The 16791-nt window shown below is 52.0% G+C and overlaps 2 protein-coding genes and 1 long non-coding RNA gene across 3 annotated transcripts in view, besides 5 other annotated features; 2 read left to right on the plus strand and 1 right to left on the minus strand.

Moving 5' to 3' along the window:
- Positions 1 to 5757, plus strand: part of SPIRE2 (spire type actin nucleation factor 2) — a 42845-nt gene extending 37088 nt beyond the window's left edge. Inside the window, exons 13-15 of the mRNA NM_032451.2 lie at positions 2627 to 2654; positions 4005 to 4120; positions 4488 to 5757. Of these exons, the coding sequence (NP_115827.1) occupies positions 2627 to 2654; positions 4005 to 4120; positions 4488 to 4710 (367 nt within the window). The 3' untranslated portion in view covers positions 4711 to 5757. The remainder of the gene's footprint in view (positions 1 to 2626; positions 2655 to 4004; positions 4121 to 4487) is intronic.
- On the minus strand, positions 4815 to 7926 carry LOC112268179 (uncharacterized). The gene is made up of 2 exons (XR_002957933.2): positions 7406 to 7926; positions 4815 to 6359 (listed from the first exon to the last, which is right to left on the minus strand). It is a non-coding gene; the product is annotated as an uncharacterized LOC112268179 (long non-coding RNA).
- Positions 6788 to 7744: an enhancer, noted in NCBI's record as "H3K27ac-H3K4me1 hESC enhancer chr16:89938758-89939714 (GRCh37/hg19 assembly coordinates)". NCBI's record gives its function as "activates a minimal SCP1, AML or CMV promoter by ChIP-STARR-seq in primed H9 embryonic stem cells {active_cell/tissue: H9 hESC(primed)}" and the evidence as "EXISTENCE:reporter gene assay evidence [ECO:0000049][PMID:30033119]".
- Positions 7515 to 7674: an enhancer, noted in NCBI's record as "active region_11426". NCBI's record gives its function as "activates an Ori minimal core promoter by ATAC-STARR-seq in GM12878 lymphoblastoid cells {active_cell/tissue: GM12878}" and the evidence as "EXISTENCE:reporter gene assay evidence [ECO:0000049][PMID:35858748]".
- Positions 7755 to 7874: a silencer, noted in NCBI's record as "silent region_7928". NCBI's record gives its function as "represses an Ori minimal core promoter by ATAC-STARR-seq in GM12878 lymphoblastoid cells {active_cell/tissue: GM12878}" and the evidence as "EXISTENCE:reporter gene assay evidence [ECO:0000049][PMID:35858748]".
- TCF25 (TCF25 ribosome quality control complex subunit) overlaps positions 8030 to 16791 on the plus strand; it is a 37788-nt gene continuing 29026 nt past the window's right edge. The window contains exon 1 of the mRNA NM_014972.3: positions 8030 to 8297. Within this exon, the coding sequence (NP_055787.1) occupies positions 8106 to 8297 (192 nt within the window). The 5' untranslated portion in view covers positions 8030 to 8105. The remainder of the gene's footprint in view (positions 8298 to 16791) is intronic.
- Positions 8345 to 8814: a silencer, noted in NCBI's record as "silent region_7929". NCBI's record gives its function as "represses an Ori minimal core promoter by ATAC-STARR-seq in GM12878 lymphoblastoid cells {active_cell/tissue: GM12878}" and the evidence as "EXISTENCE:reporter gene assay evidence [ECO:0000049][PMID:35858748]".
- Positions 13943 to 14612: an enhancer, noted in NCBI's record as "H3K27ac-H3K4me1 hESC enhancer chr16:89945913-89946582 (GRCh37/hg19 assembly coordinates)". NCBI's record gives its function as "activates a minimal SCP1, AML or CMV promoter by ChIP-STARR-seq in naive H9 embryonic stem cells {active_cell/tissue: H9 hESC(naive)}" and the evidence as "EXISTENCE:reporter gene assay evidence [ECO:0000049][PMID:30033119]".

Consider the following 16791-nt stretch of genomic DNA (forward strand, 5'->3'; position numbering starts at 1 on the left):
AAACAAAACAAATAGCAAATGACAGCCTTAAACACAACTGTATCTCGCATCACATTAACTGTAAGTCATCCACACGACCCAAGTAAAAGTTAGAATTTCCCAGACTGAATAAAAAAGTAAGGCTGGGCCGGGCGCGGTGGCTCACACCTTGATCCCAGCACTTTGGGAGGCCAACGCTGGCAGATCACGAGGTCGGGAGATCGAGACCATCCTGGCTAACACGATGAAACCCTGTCTCTACTAAAAATACAAAAAATTAGCTGGGCGTGGTGGCGGGTGCCTGTAGTCCCAGCTACTCGGGAGGCTGAGGCAGGAGAACTGCTTGAACCTGTGAGGTGGAGGGTGCAGTGAGCCGAGATCGCGCCACTGCACTCCAGACTGGGCAACAGAGGGAGACTGTCTCAAAAAAAAAAAAAAAAAAAAAAGGTAAGGCTGGATATGGTGGATATGGTAGCTCATGCCTATAATCCCAGCACTTTGGGAGGCTGAGGTGGGAGGATCACTTGAGCCAAGGAGGTCAAGGCTGCAGTGAGCTATGACGGTGTCACTGCACTCCAGCCTGGGTGACAGAGCAAGACCTGTCTGGGAAAAAAAAATCACCTAATTTTATCTGTAAAATTATGTATATTTCTGTTGATATATGCTTGGAAAAGCCTGGAGGATGGAAACCATTACTAGCAGGGATCACTTCTGAGCATGTGGTGTCTACATTTTAATTCTCTCATGTTTGAATTTTTTTTTTTTATTTTTTTGAGATAGAGTTTCACTCTTGTTGCCCAGTCGGAAGTGCAATGCCGCGATCTCAGCTCACTGCAACCTCTGCCTCCCAGGTTCAAGTGATTCTCCTGCCTCAGCCTCCTGAGTAGCTGGCATTACAGGCATGTGCCACCACACTTGCTAATTTCGTATTTTTAGTAGAGATGGGGTTTCTCCATGTTGGTCAGGTTGATCTCCAACTCCCGACCTCAGGTGATCGCCCACCTTGGCCTCCCAAAGTGCTGGGATTACAGCGGTGAGCCACCACGCCCAGCCTTGAATTTTTTTTTTTTTCTTTTTTCTTTTTTGAGATGGAATCTCACTCTGTCACCCAGGCTGGAGTGCAGTGGCACAATCTCGGCTCACTGCAAGCTCCACCTCCCGGGTTCACGCCATTCTCCTGCCTCAGCCTCCCGAGTAGCTGGAACTACAGGTGCCCGCCACCAGGCCTGGCTAATTTGTTTGCATTTCTAGTAGAGACGGGGTTTCACCATGTTAGCCAGGATGGTCTCGATCTCCTGACCTCGTGATCTGCCCATCTCGGTCTCCCAAAGTGCTGGGATTACAGGCTTGAGCCACCGCGCCCAGCCTTGAATTTTTTATAAGAAGGTATTTATTTTTGAAATCAGATATGGGAATTAAAACAAAATTGAATCACTGTTTAAAACTGAGCATCTCAGTTGAGGCCCCTCTAGCTTCCATGGTGCTTTTATGGTGAGTAGTGTCAGGTACACACCAATGTCTACACGTCTTCTTAGAAGGAATCTTAGATGTCTTTCCAAGACAGTGTGCAAGTTTTTTTTTTGTTTTTTGTTGTTGTTGTTGTTTGCTTTTTGTTTTTTTTGAGACAGAGTCTCTCTCTGTCACCCAGGCTGCGGTGCAGTGCCATGATCTCGGCTCACTGCAACTTCCGCCTCCTGGGTTCAAGCAATTCTCTGCCTCAGCCTCCCGAGTAGCTGGGATTACAGGTGCCCGCCACCATGCCCGGCTAATTTTTTGTATTTTTAGTAGAGACGGGGTTTCACCATCTTGGCCAGGCCGATGTTGAACACCTGACCTCGTGATCCACCTGCCTTGGCCTCCCAAAGTGCTGGGATTACAGGCGTGAGGCATCGCGCCTGGCCGACAGTGTGCAGTTTTTAAAGACCCTTGTAGGTTTTTGTTTTTAAACTTTCCAAAAGTATGTGACCCATCATGGCTTGGTTCAGAAAGACCCATCATGCCTTGGTTCAGAAACAAAAATCTGCTTAAGAGGGACTTTTACCACCATTTTTTTTTTTTTTTGAGACAGAGTTTCGCTCAGTCCCCCAGGCTGGAGTGCAGTGGCGTGATCTCAGCTCACTGCAACCTCCACTTCCCAGGTTCATGCCATTCTCCTATCTCAGCCCCCCAAGTAGCTGTGATTACAGGTGCCTGCTGCCACGCCCAACTCATTTTTGTATTTTTAGTAGAAACGAGGTTTCACCTTGTTGGTCAGGCTTGTCTCAAACCCCTGACCTCAGGTGATCCACTTGCCTTGGCCTCCCAAAGTGCTGGGATTACAGGCGTAAGCTACCACATCTGGCCCACCACCACTATGTTTAAACCTTACTCTATATCCTACCACTTGGCAATAGAAAACTTGGCAGGAGAAAACTCCTGGAGCCATCCTTCCTGAGAGAATGCCAAGGAGCACATATATTTTGGGTGGATACCTAAGTATAAAGAAAAGCAAGATTTTGGAGTAAAATAAAGTACTGAAGTAACCAAGCATCAGGCAGAAGGCAAGGATGGTTTGACCTCGGATGCGTGGAGGCCGGGATGCGACTGTTTCTCAGCTGTTTGTGGGCTTCCTCCCTGCTGATGCTGCATTTCCTCTGTTCCCTTCCAGAGCCGTCTGCACTTCCTGTAGCATAAAGGTGAGGACCATGTGGGATCTCTGGGGTCTGAGCAAGGCAGATGAGGGGCTCCACTGGCTTTGATTGGATGTGTTGGATGATGCTGCCTCACCAGGCACCTCATCCATTTCCTTTCAGGCAGAATCCATTCCTATACTTTCCAAGATAGTGTGCAGTTTTTAAAGACCCTTACAGGTTTTTGTTTTTAAACATTGCACGTTAGTAGCCTCGTGCCAAAAAACCCTTCACTTCCCCTCTAAAAGTCCTACCTTCTTACATTCTATAACTTTTTGGGTGTTTTAGGAGGGGCTTCTTATTGCAGTTGAGGTGTGTGCTTATGTGCAGGTGCACAGAGGTAAAGGGATCCTAACATTTAAAAGTATGTCAGCTGGGCACGGTGGCTCACACCTGTAATCCCAGCATTTTGGGAGGCCAGTGAGGCTGGCGGACCACTTGAGACCAGCCTGGCCAACATGGTGAAACCCCATCTCTACTAAAAATACAAAAAAATTAGCTGGGCATGGTGGCACGCACCTGTAATCCTAGCTACTCAGGAGGCTGAGGCATGAGAATTACTTGAACCCGGGAGGTGGAGGCCACAGTGAGCTATGATTGTGCCACTGCACTACAGCCTGGGTGACAGAGACTCCGTCTCAAAAAGACAAAATACAAATAAAAGTATGTCACCAGCCAGGCGCGGTGGCTCATGCCTGCAGTTCCTGCACTTTGGGAGGCTGAGGTGGGAGGATCTCTTGAGCCCAGCAAATTCAAGGCTGCAGTGAGTATGGCTGTGCCTCTGTACTCCAGCCTGGGCAATAGAGCAAGATCTGTGTCTTAAAAAAAAAAAAAAAAAAAAAAATATATATATATATATATATATGTTACCCCTCAGGCCTCAGTTCAGAAGCAAAACTCTGCTTAAGGAGTACTCTTACTACCACTATTTTTAAATCTTACTCTACATCCTGCCACTTGGCAATGGAAAAACTTCCACCTCATCCATGTTAAATGTTGATTATGTGCAGGGTAAGGTGGCAGGTCCCGTATAGTATAAAAAGGGAAAGTTCTTGCCCTCTAAGGAGCCCCTGTCCAGATGAGCAGGAAACGTGGCAGGTCCCGCATGGTATAAAAAGGGACGGTTCTTGCGCTCTAAGAAGCCCCTGTCCAGATGTGCAGCAAGCAGGAACCCCGTGCCAGTCTTCAGCCAAAAGGCACAGAGGAGACATCGGAGAGCACAGGGACAGAGAATATTCTCCAGGAAGCCCTGGCTGCCACGCAGGTCCCAGACTGGGGAGGGAGGTCCCCTAGCACTGAGTGTACCTGAATGTCTCTGGTGGTGCCTGGTTCATACCTCCTCCCTCTGTGCTGCAGATGAAGATGCCTTCTAAGAAATTTGGACACATCCCTGTCTACACACTGGGCTTTGAGAGTCCTCAGAGGGTATCAGCTGCCAAAACCGCGCCAATCCAGAGAAGAGACATCTTTCAGTGCGTTCTTCGCCTTGCTGCTGATGTCACTGTGGTGGTCGGGCGTGAAGAGGAACTTGGGAGCTGGGGTGGAGGGGGCTGGCTTTGTCTGTTTGCTAGGACACCCCAAGGAAATGGAAATGCAAGGCAGAGACGGATCGTTGTGTAGGGCTCTGGGAGGCTGAGCAGTATGAGATGGAAACTGGACTTGGGTGGTCAGGGAACAGTCTGCTGAGATGAACACTGCTAGCTGTGTTTGTTGCCTGAGGGCCAAGGGGAGGCCTAGGGTGAAAGGCAGCCAGGAGGGGGCTGTGGCATGCACAAGCAGGGAGGGGGGTGTGGCACCCTGGCTGGCTCCTCTCCCTGAGTGCCCTCTCCCACTTCCCAGGTCTCTGCAAGGGCCACAGTGGCAGAGCGTGGAGGAGGCGTTCCCCCACATCTACTCCCACGGCTGTGTCCTGAAGGATGTCTGCAGTGAGTGCACCAGCTTTGTGGCAGACGTGGTGCGTTCCAGCCGCAAGAGCGTGGACGTCCTCAACACTACGCCACGACGCAGTCGCCAGACCCAATCCCTCTACATCCCTAACACCAGGACTCTTGACTTCAAGTGACAGCCCCAGGTGGCCAGGCCTCCAGGAGGCACCAGGCAGGCCCTGTATCAGGCTAGGACGCTCTGAGCTGTGCATGTACATATATACATATATAGATACATTTATAATATATACACACAGTCTATATATTTATATACACTGTTTCCTGGCCCCAGAGCTCATTTGGGTTCAGGCGCACTTCAAAACCCTCCCTGGGGGAGGCTGTTTCTTCTCAGGATTCCTTGCCAGGGAGGAAGGGGAGGGAACAGGGTGGGTTTTCTCACTGAAGAGAGAAAGCAGAAGGTTCTAGATCCTGGCACAGACTGCATCCCATGTTCCCATGCTCTTCTCCGTCCCCAGGAATGCGAACGGCAGTTTCCCTTCCCCAGTGGACGTCTAGGTGGGGACAGGGTATCTTGGCTCCCAGCTGGACCAGAGTGCCCTGCTTGCCTCTGCTCTCCCTTTGTGGGGACTCAGGCAGCAGAGGCATCTGGGAAGTCTCTGAGTAGGCAGGGTCCTCCTGGGAGGCACCCCCACCTGTTTGAAAGGTCTGGCCAGGCGTGGTGGTTCAGGCCTGTAATTCCAGCACTTTGGGAGGCCGAGGAGGGAGGATCACCTGAGGTCAGGAGTTTGAGACCAGCCTGGCCAACATGATGAAATGTTGTCTCTACTGAAAATGCAAAAATTAGCCAGGTATAGTGGCAGGAACCTGTAATCCCAGCTACAGGGGAGGCTGAGGCAGGAGAATCGCTTGAACCCGGGAGGTGTAGGTTGCAGTGAGCCGAGATTGCACCACTGCACTCCAGCCTGGGCGACAGAGCGAGACTCTGTCTCGAAAAAAAAAAAGGTCCGTGCCAAGCTGCTCCCTGCCCTTGCCCTTTCCCTTTCCCTGGGGTCCAAACCACATGTGTCCTGCCTCTCCTGGCCCTACCACATTCTGGTGCTGTCCTCACTCGCCCCTGGCCCAGAGGCTCCTGAAGATGCTGGGCGGTCCTGGCACAGGGAGGAGCAGCTCTGTAAATCTGTGCACATGGCCACTCTTGGCCTAATAAAGGAGGTCTCACAGTCTTCTGTCTGGGATGTGCGCTGAGGATTCACCCAGCATGGCATGTTCTCCCAAGGTTGAAGCTGGGCTTGAGGGGCCACCTGCCTTCCAGGACGAGGAAAGGCCTCCTGGCTTAGAGTCAGGTGCCCACCAGGCAAGGGCTCCAGGCCTGCTCTGTCCACGCAGCCCTGGCTGCCTCTACCAGCTTCGTGGTCCTGGCCACCATGGTCAGGGCTGCATGCGGACGGCACAGACTACTGCCCATCAGCTCCTCTGGCCACACCTGCTGGCCTGGGGGGTACTTTGGTCTCATTTCCCAGATCCGTATTCTCGTTCTCCAGGGAGAGGATCCACAGGGGCAGGAGGTGTGACTGCAGGCTCTAGACAGGCCCTGTGCCGAGTGCTGTCTGCTCACCTGCGCCCGGCTCAGCCTGTTAACGGGGCCCTGCCCTGCTCCTCCGTGACGTTCTGCCGTCATCTTACCTTACAGATGAGGGAACTGAGGCTCAACGAGGTCAAAGAATTTGGCCAAAGATACACAGCTCACCCAGAACTTTGACTCCAGGCTGTAATGCTAGCCGTGGGGCCTGGAGGTCAGAAGGGACAGGACTTGTAACTGATGGGCCTGCGGGAGAAAATACTCCTGTCAGCTGGGGTCCAGGAAATCCAAACACACAAAATTAGAGCCCCCAGTAAAAACAGCCAGCTTCTAGCATGCGTGTAAGCATTTCACGGACTCTCTGGCCTGTATTTTTATTCCTGTTTAAAAATAAGAAAACAGGCACAGAGAGGGTCAGGGAACTCCTCCGGTCACACAGCCAGCAATAAGCTAATGTGTAGTGCTTGGTAAGGACGACGGTTGTTCTGGTTCTACGGGGACTCACACTCCCTATCATGGGGAGACTGGGTTGTAATTCATACAGGAACACTTGGAAATGAAAGCCCACGTTAAAACCCTAAACCACGGCAGGTGCAGTGGCTCACACCTGTAATCCCAGCACTTTTGGAGGGTGAGGTGGGCAGATCACTTGAGGTCAGGAGTTCGAGACCAGCCTGGCCAACATGGTGAAACCCCATCTCTACTGAGTACAAAAATTAGCCGGGCATGGTGGCACATGCCTGTAGTCCCAGCTACTCGGGAGGCTGAGACAGGAGAAGTGCTTGAGCCTGGGAGATGGAGGTTGCAGTGAGCCGAGATTGCGCCACTGCACTCCAGCCTGGGCAACAGAGCAAGACCTCATCTCACAAAATAAAATAAAACCCTAACCCATCCTGGGAGGGGCCAGGCCGGCTCACCAGGGCTGCTGCTTGTGCTCATGAAGCCGCAGTAAGTCGGGCAGGAGGCTGCTGGCACCTGTCTTCTCTATGCCCTCCTGTCCCCATGTCCCCAACCCCAGGCACAGGAAGCTGTGCCCTCCGCCCACTGAACCCAGCACTGTCTCAGCCTCATCTACTTTATTTTTTTCATTTTTTTGAGACAGGGTCTGGCTCTGTCGCCCAGGCTGGAGTGCAGTGGCGCGATCTCGGCTCACTGCAGCCTCAGCCTCCCGAGTAGCTGGGATTACAGGCGTGCGCAGCCACGCCCAGCTAATTTTTGTATTTTTAGTAGAGGGAGTTTCACCGTGTTGCCCAACCTGGTCTCGAATTCCCGACCTCAGGTGATTCGCCCACCTTGGCCTCCCAAAGTGCTGGGATTACAAGCGTGAGCACCGCGCCCGGCCCTTAGATCGTGACAAACGCGGGCGGCCTGTCCTAGAACTGTCAGAACCACTGTCCCTAAAGAGGCCTCGGGCGGGCAGTAAGGGCCGCGTCACTCAATGCTGCTCGAGGGGCGGCGGCTCCAGGGCAGAGGCGGGCATCGACGGCTAGATCACTCGAATGACACCCTGACACGAAAAGGACCAACTAGCAACGTCCGGGACGCAGCTGAAATGCTGCAGGCACGGTGCGGGGACAGGCCCCGGCGGGCAGAACGCGGCTGCGGGTTCCGGGCCACATGGATGGGCAAGGCCGGGCAGGGCCGACTGTCGCCGGCTGCGCGCCCGTTACCCCGAATCGAAGCCCGTCATCCCCGCGGGGCACCTCTCCATGCCCGGTGCGCACGGCGCGCAGACACCCAGCTCTCCAGAGACCTGGCCCGGACCCCCCGGAGCCCGCCCAGACGCCGCCGCTGAAGCGGGAAAGTTCCGGAGAGCCGCGACGCGCAGGCGCCGCAGCCAGGTCCTGCCCCCACCCCTCGCGCCAAGAGTGCGCAGGCGCGCAGCCAGCTCCCCCGCCCCCGACCCCGCGCGAAGAGTGCGCAGGCGCGCCGACAGCCGAGTTTTCTGCGCTTCCTTCTCCCTCTCTCCAGACGTCGTGGTCGTTCGGTCCTATGTCGCGCCGGGCCCTCCGGAGGCTGAGGGGGGAACAGCGCGGCCAGGAGCCCCTCGGGCCCGGCGCCTTGCATTTCGATCTCCGTGATGACGATGACGCGGAAGAAGAAGGGCCCAAGCGGGAGCTTGGTGTCCGGCGTCCCGGGGGCGCAGGGAAGGAGGGCGTCCGAGTCAACAACCGCTTCGAGCTGGTGAGGAGCGCGGCGGCCCGGGTGGGGGTGGGGTGGCCCTTGACGTTGTGGGGCGGGGCGAGCGTCCAGCCGGGTCGGGGAGCGGGGTTGTGATGCCAGGGGTGGGAAGGGTGACGTGGGTCCCAGCCGCAGTGGGGAGGGCGGGGCCGTGCGTCGGGGCCAGGGCGACGCGGGTGGGCGGTGGCGTGGGGTGAAGACGGCGGGCCGCGGAGTTAGACTGGGTTCTAACCCCGGTGAGGTGGGCGGGGCTAAGGGATGGGGCGGGGCCGTGCTGTCGGGGCGGGGCGACCGAATGGGCGGGGTTAAGCGGGGTCCGGGTTGTGGAGGGTGCGGGGCCTTGATGCCAAGGGCGTGGCCAACGTCCGCGGGGCCGGGCCACGACGTGGGCGGGATTAAATGGGCCTGCGGCCACGTGGCTGTCGTGGGGCCGTGACGCTAAAGGGCGTGGCTAAAGACGGGGGGGTGGCGAGGCGATGGCGTGGGCGGGGTTAAATGAGGCCTGGGGCCACCGTGGGGGTGGGGCCACGGCGTAGGGGCAGGAGTCGGGTGGGGCTTCCCTTTCTCGAGTCTAGAGGGGCCTTCTCTCGGTTCCAGGGTTGAGGACTTGCCAGGCCTCTGCGAGCATTCTGCTTTAATCCTCACAACAACTCTGCCTAACCCAGGGCCTTGCTCTTCGCGCATCCCCATCAGCCTAACCCAGCGGATTAGTCTTACTCTTTGCTGCATCTCCGGCAGCTCGTTTCTGGCACAGGGAAGTAACAGTTTGACTGTATGGTTTGCTCATGCGGTCCTGTGACGTTTTCTCCTAAGCCCTGGCCTCCGTCTGTAACTCTGCCTCTGCGGGCTCTGCGATCCTCCCACCTCAGCCTCCTGAGTATCTAGGACTACAGGTGGATGTCACCACGCCCGGCTAATTTTTTTTTTTTTTCTTTTTTGTAGAGAAGAGTTTTCGCCTTGTTGCCCAGGCTGGTCTAGAACTTCTGCGCTCAAACAATCTGTCCACCTCAGCCTCACAAAGTGCTGGGACTACAGGCGTGAGTCACCATGCTTGGTTGACTGCCCTTCTCGCATCAAGTCCACCTTTAGTGGTCCCCAAGACCCCCGTCAAGGTTCAGTAATTTGCTAGATTCACAGCAGTTACTGAAAGCTTTTTGTTTTGAGATGGAATCTTGCTCTGTTGCCCAGGCTGGAGTGCATTGGCACAATCCTAGCTCACTGCAACCTTGAACTCCTGGGCTCAAATAGTCCTCTCACCTTGGCCTCTCAGAGTGTTGGCATTAGAGGCATGAGCCACTGTGCTTGGCCCCGTAAGTCTTTTTAAATTTTTGTCAATGTAATTTGTGAAAAATGATATCACATTATTTTATTTTACACTTCTTTGGTAGTGAAATGCAGCACCTAGCTATGTATTCGTTGACCATTTATATTTCTCTTTGTGACAACCTGTTTATATCTTTGCCTTTTTATAGGGGGTTTGGACAGTCTTTTTGCTCGTGGAAGCTTGCTATCGATTGTCTCTAACGTATTTTCTCGGTTTGTGTTTGTTCTTTAACTTCTTTAATTTCTGCGTGCTGAAAGATACTGGAGCCACTTTTCTCATTGTTACACATCCATCTCTCTAGAGTGTCTTCACATAGATATTCCCTGACGTGAGTTTTTTTTTTTTTTTTTTTTTTTTTTTGAGATGGAGTCTCGCTCTGTCGCCCAGGCTGGAGTGCAGTGGCATGATCTCGGCTCACTGCAAGCTCCGCCTCCTGGGTTCACGCCATTCTCCTGCCTCAGCCTCCCAAGTAGCTGGGAACACAGGCGCCCGCCACCACGCCTGGCTAATTTTTTGTATTTTTAGTAGAGATGGGGTTTCACCATGTTAGCCAGGATGGTCTCGATCTCCTGACCTCGTGATCCGCCTGCCTCGGCCTCCCAAAGTGCTGGGATTACAGGCGTGAGCCACTGCGCCTGGCTTTTTTTTTTTTTTTTTTTTTTTTTTTTGGTTACAGACAGGGTCTCACGGTGTTGCCCAGGCTGGTTGCTGGTCTTGAACTCCTGGGTTCAGGTTATCCTCCTGCCTCAGCCTCCTGAGCAGCTGGGACTACAGCATACCCTACCATGCTCAGCTTGTTCTTTTAATGCTTTTTTTTTCCCATTTAAATATTTAATCTTTTTGGTATTTATATTTGTGTTGGTGGGAATTTGGAAAAAGTGTGGTTCATGAGTTGACAGAGTAAGAGTCTGTAAGGTCAGAAACCACACAAACCCTTGTGGACTTTCTGGAGTGAGTTTGAGTGTCAGTAACACTAACAGCCTCCATGGATGAATGACTGCTTATCGTGCTGTGTTCTTAGGAATTTCAGAGAATTTTATCCAGTGGCACACATCAGTCTTAATTTAAGCATTCCATACTTTTTTGCTCTTAAAACTCATATTTGGAAATAATATAATCAAAATGTTTATTGGCATTCTGTTAAATAGCTCTTAATAAACAGAAGTATGGGAGACAGTAAACAGCCAGTTACGACTAAATGGTTATGAATGTGAATGCATTGGTGAGAGACATGGTGTTTCTCTTTTTAAAAAATTTTATTTATTTAGAGACAAGATCTCTTTATGTTGCCTAGGTTGGTCTTAAACTCCTGGGCTCAAGAGATCCTTCCGCCTTGGCCTCCCAAAGTGCTGGAATTGCAGCTCCCAGTACTTTGGGAGGTGGGCAGATCACCTGAGGTCAGGAGTTCGAGAGCAGCCTGGCCAACATGGTGAAACCCCATCTCTACTAAGAATACAAAAATTGGGCCAGGCGTGGTGGCACATGCCTGTATTCCCAGCACTTTGGGAGGCCGACGTGGGCGGATCATGAGGTCAGGAGATCCAGACCATCCTGGCTAACACGGTGAAACCCCGCCTCTACTAAAGAAGTACAAAAAAATTAGCCGGGTGTGGCGGCGGGAGCCTATAGTCCCAGCTACTCAGGAGGCTGAGGCAGGAGAATGGCGTGAACCCAGGAGGCGGAGCTTGCAGTGAGCTGAGATCGTGCCACTGCACTCCAGCCTGGGCAACAGAGCGAGACTCCATCTAAAAAAAAAAAAAAAAAAAAAAAAATTGGCCAGGCATGGTGGTGGGTGCCTGTAATCCCAGCTACTTGGGAGGCTGAGGCAGGAGAATTGCTTGAACCCAGGAGGTGGAGGTTGCAATGAACTGAGATTGTGCCACCAGGCTCCAGCCCGGGCAATACAGCGAGACTCTGTCTCAAAAAAATAAATAAATAAATAAATAAATAAATCGTAATAATAATTATGGATTTGTCTATTTCTACTTTCAACCCTGTCAGTTTTTGCTGTGTGTGGGTGTGTGTGTGTTTTGGTTTTTTGGAGACAGAGTCTCGCTCTATTGCCCAGGCTGGAGTTCAATGTCACAATTATAACTCACTGTAATCTTGAACTCCTGGGCTCAAACCATCCTCCCACCTCAGCCTCCCAAGTAGGTGGAACTATAAGTGGGTGTCACCACACCTGGCTAATTTTTTCAATTTTTTTTGAAAGCCAGTGTGCTGGGATTATAGATGTGAGCTACCATGCCTGGCCTAGAATCTTTTCTGAACTGATTGGTAATGAAAATAGCAACCTATCAAAATTTGTGGGATGCAACTGAAACGATGATTAGAACTTTATCATCGTAAATTTTAAATTAGAAAAGTGTTTAAAAATCTAGAAATTTACCTGAAACTTCTACCTTAAACTAGAAAAAGAGCAAATTAAACTCAAAATGTGTCGAAGGAAGAAACTAATCAAAGAGGGGAATGCACAGAATAGAGTATGGACACGATGGAGAGAATCGGTGAGACCGAAACTTGGTTCTCTCAAAAGACGAGTTGGCAAAAACTCTAGATTGACTGATGGAGGGAAAAAGGGAAGGTCCAGGTACGTTACCATTTTCAGGGATGGGAGAGGAGTGTTCACAGGTACAGATGGTGCAGATAGTAACGGGCGATAAGGAACTTCTTGCTAATAAATTTTCCAGATTAGACAAATGGGCAAGTTCCTTTAAAGATAAAACTTATCTAAATTGACATGTGAAGAAATAAAAAAATCTGAGCCCTTTTATCTATTAAAGATACTGAATTTTTTAAAGTATAAAACATTCCAGGCTAGGGTTGGTGGCTGACACCTGTAATCCCATCACTTTGGGAGGTCAAGGCAGATCCATCACTTGAGCTCAGGTGTGTGAGACCAGCCTGGGCAATGTGGCAAAACCCCATCTCTACAAACAATACAAAAAAACTGTCCAAGTATAGTGGCACTCACCTGTGGTCACAGCTACTCGGGAGGCTGAGACGGGAGGATGGCTTGAACCCAGGAGGTCGAGGCTGCAGTGAGGTGAGATGACGCCACCGTACTCCAGCCTGGGTGACAAAGTGAGACCCTGTCTCAAAAAAAAAAAAAAGACAACCTCAGGCTGGGTGCGGTGGCTCATGCCGGTAATCCCAGCACTGTGGGAGGCCAAGGCGGGTGGACCACCTGAGGTCAGGAGTTCGAGACCAGCCTGGCCGACATGGTGAAACTCCGTCTCTATTAAAAATCACCATTTTTTTTTTTTTTTTTTTTTTTTAGGAAAAATGGACATTTTCCTCTCCCCCTAAAAAAAGATAAAACTCCTTCCTGGTTATTAACTGAAATGCTGATCGAGCTTTATCCTAAAGAAGATCAGTCGTGGACAAGAACCTTGTGAAATGTTCCCCATTTGAGACCCTAAAACTAATGAAAATCACAGCTTTTGGGTAGGTAATAAGGTGTTTTGTTTTGTTTTTTGAGACGGAGTCTTGCGCTGTCGCCCAGGCTGGAGTGCAGTGGCACCATCTCAGCTCACTGCAAGCTCTGCCTCCTGGATTCACTCCATTGTCCAGCCTCAGCCTCCTGAGTAGCTGGGACTACAGGCGCCCACCACCACGCCCGGCAAGTTTTTTTGTATTTTTAGTAGAGACGGGGTTTCACCGTGTTAGCGAGGATGGTCTTGATCTCCTGACCTCGCCATCTGCCCACCTCTGCCTCCCAAAGTGCTGGGATTACAGGCGTGAGCCACCGCGCCCAGCCAGTAATAAGGTTTGTCTGACGGTGATTGACAGCATTTTAGAGCTGATGCATGGCAGTAGAGATTGCAGCAAATCATGTGTCATCACCAAAACTTCACTGAAGAAGCAAAACTAGGCCTGTCACCCGTGCTGTCTGTGTACACAGATGGGCTTCAGAGCCTGTCACACGTGTTGTCCGTGTACACAGATGGGCTTCGGGGCCTGTCATACGTGCTGTTCGTGTACACAGACGGGCTCCTGGGCCTATCACCCGTGCTGTCCGTGTACACAGATGGGCTTCGGGGCCTGTCACACGTGTTGTCCGTGTGCACAGATGGGCTTCGGGGCCTGTCACACGTGTTGTCCGTGTACACAGACGGGCTTCAGAGCCTGTCACACGTGCTGTTCGTGTACACAGACGGGCTCCTGGGCCTGTCACACGTGCTGTCCGTGTACACAGATGGGCTTCGGAGCCTGTCACACGTGTTGTCCGTGTACACAGATGGGCTTCGGGGCCTGTCACACGTGTTGTCCGTGTACACAGATGGGCTTCGGGGCCTGTCACACGTGTTGTCCGTGTGCACAGATGGGCTTCGGGGCCTGTCACACGTGTTGTCCGTGTGCACAGATGGGCTTCGGGGCCTGTCACACGTGTTGTCCGTGTGCACAGATGGGCTTCGGGGCCTGTCACACGTGTTGTCCGTGTGCACAGATGGGCTTCGGGGCCTGTCACACGTGTTGTCCGTGTGCACAGATGGGCTTCGGGGCCTGTCACACGTGTTGTCCGTGTGCACAGATGGGCTTCGGGGCCTGTCACACGTGTTGTCCGTGTGCACAGATGGGCTTCGGGGCCTGTCACACGTGTTGTCCGTGTGCACAGATGGGCTTCGGGGCCTGTCACACGTGTTGTCCGTGTGCACAGATGGGCTTCGGGGCCTGTCACACGTGTTGTCCGTGTGCACAGATGGGCTTCGGAGCCTGTCACACGTGTTGTCCGTGTACACAGACAGGCTCCTGGGCCTATCATGTGTGCTGTCTTTGTAAACAGTCAGGATCCCAGGACTATCACGCGTGCTGTCCATGTACACAGGCAGGCTCCTGAGCCCATCACACGTGCTGTCCGTGTACACAGATGGGCTTCAGAGCCTGTCACACGTGTTGTCCATGTACACAGACAGGCTCCCGGGCCTATCATGTGTGCTGTCTGTGTACACAGGCAGGCTCCTGAGCCCATCACGCGTGCTGTCCGTGTACACAGGCTCCTTTCCATTGAAGTTCAGCTTGGCATAGAGCTTTTTATGAATTCGATTTGTCAAACACCTCAAAATAAGAATTTTTTTTCTTAGGAAGTCAGCATGAGTTAATAAAAGTAAATTGGGTGTTGGCCGGGCGCGGTGGCTCACGCCTGTAATCCCAGCACTTTGGGAGTCTGAGGCGGGCAGATCACCTGAGGTCAGGAGTTCGAGACCAGCCTGGCCAACATGATGAAACCCCATCTGTACTAAAAATACAAAAATTAGCCTGGCATGGCGGCACATGCCTGTAGTCCCAGTTACTCGGGAGGCTGAGGCAGGAGAATCACTTGAATCCGGGAGGCGGAGGTTGCAGTGAGCCAAGATCATGCGATTGCTCTCCAGCCTGGGCAACAGAGCAAGACTCCATCTCAAAAAAAGAAAAAAAAAAAAGTAAATTGGGTGTTGTGGCGTGTGCCTGTAGTCCCAGCTCCTGGGGAGGCTGAGGCAGGAGGATCCCTTGACCACAGGAATTTGAGGCCAGCCTGGGCAACACAGTGAGACCCTATCTCTAAAAACAGACAAGTAAACCAGCACCCAGCTTCACTAAGAGACATCATCATTAGTTGAATGTTGGAGATGGTGTAGATCCAATTTACCAGTGACCACCCACAGGTTAGAAACATTTCAACAATAGGCTTTGTTTCAGCTTTCTTCCTTTACTGCAGGGTGCAAGGCAGCCGGCCCATGCCTAGGCCCCAGCTTCGCCAGCAAAGGCCAGGCAGAAGGAGGCATCACCATGAGAATCACCATCATGGTGCTGCTGGGATGGGACAAACCTCGTTTTGGTGGAGTGTCAGTGTTTTCAAGTTAGGGGCTCTGTTTACATAACACGTCTATACTGCCATGGATTTTCTCAACGGGCGTAAGTTGCTCCTGACTTGTCTCAGCGGGCGTTTAAGATGCTCCTGAATCGTATCCTTGTCATGTGGGAGCCTCCATTGGAGAGAAAGCCGACTGACCGGCAAGCACAGACCTGCCCTGTGCTTTCTTCTCTTCAGCAACCGCAGCCGGGGTGTCTGTCTTCCCAGGTGCAGCCGAGTCTCAATTCTGTTTCAGAAACTATCTCAGGGCTATGGGGCTTGGAGCTGATTGTGTTTTCTGAGGTTTGTGGTTTTCAAGATGTTTTAAATTAAACAGGCAGTTTTATTTATTTTTGAACCTTAGTGCATCCGATTGGATCCATCAGAATCTCCTAGTTCATAAAGAATTGTTGATGCTGGTCTCTGTTAGCTTTTTTTTTAAAAAATTTAGAGCTAGAGTCTTGCTCTGTTGCCCACGCTGGAGTGCCGTTGTGTGATCATGGCTCACTCCAGGTTCCAGATTCCAGGACTGCTGGGCTCACGCAGTCCTCCTCAGCCGCCTGAGTAGCTGGGACTCAAGAGGTGTGTGCCACCACACCCTGCTAATTTTTTGTAGAGATGGGGTCTCACTGTATTGCCTAGGCTGGTTTCAAGCTCCTGGGCTCAGATGATCCTCCTGCCTCAGCCTCCCAAAGCGCTGGGATTATAGGCATGAGCCACCACACCCAATCTGTTAGCCTCTTTTTTTTTTGTTTTCTTGAAATGGAATCTCGCCTTATCACCCAGGCTGGAGTGCAGTGGCATAATCTTGGCTCGCTGCAACCTCTGCCTCCCGGATTCAAGCAATTCTCCTGCCTCGGCCTCCCGAGTAGCTGGGATTACAGGCACGCGCCACTGCACCTGGCCGATTTTTTTATTTTCAGTAGAGACGGGATTTCACCATGTTGGTCAGGCTGGTCTTGAATTGCTGACCTCGTGATCCACCCACCTCGGCCTCCCAAAGTGCTGGGATTACAGGGGTGCACCGCCACCGTGCCCGGTCAGCCTCTCACTAGCTGAGGAGCCAGAACTTTTCCTGTTCTTACCCTTCTCCCACTGCCTGTCTCCCCTCCAATCTGTATGTGAATGTATGTTGTGAGGTTTTATCCATTTAATATTATACTCCTAAGATTCATCCATATTGTGTGTTCAGTGGTGGTTCATTCATTCATTCATTCTCACTGCTATAAAAAGGTTCCAGACTTGGCGTGGTGGCTCACGCCTGTAACTCCAGCTCTTTGGGAGGCTGAGGCAGGAGGATCGCTTGAGGTCAGGAGCTCAAGACCAGCCTGGGCAATGTG

Source organism: Homo sapiens, chromosome 16 (genome assembly GCF_000001405.40).
Source record: "Homo sapiens chromosome 16, GRCh38.p14 Primary Assembly".
NCBI classification, from domain to species: Eukaryota; Metazoa; Chordata; class Mammalia; order Primates; family Hominidae; genus Homo; species Homo sapiens.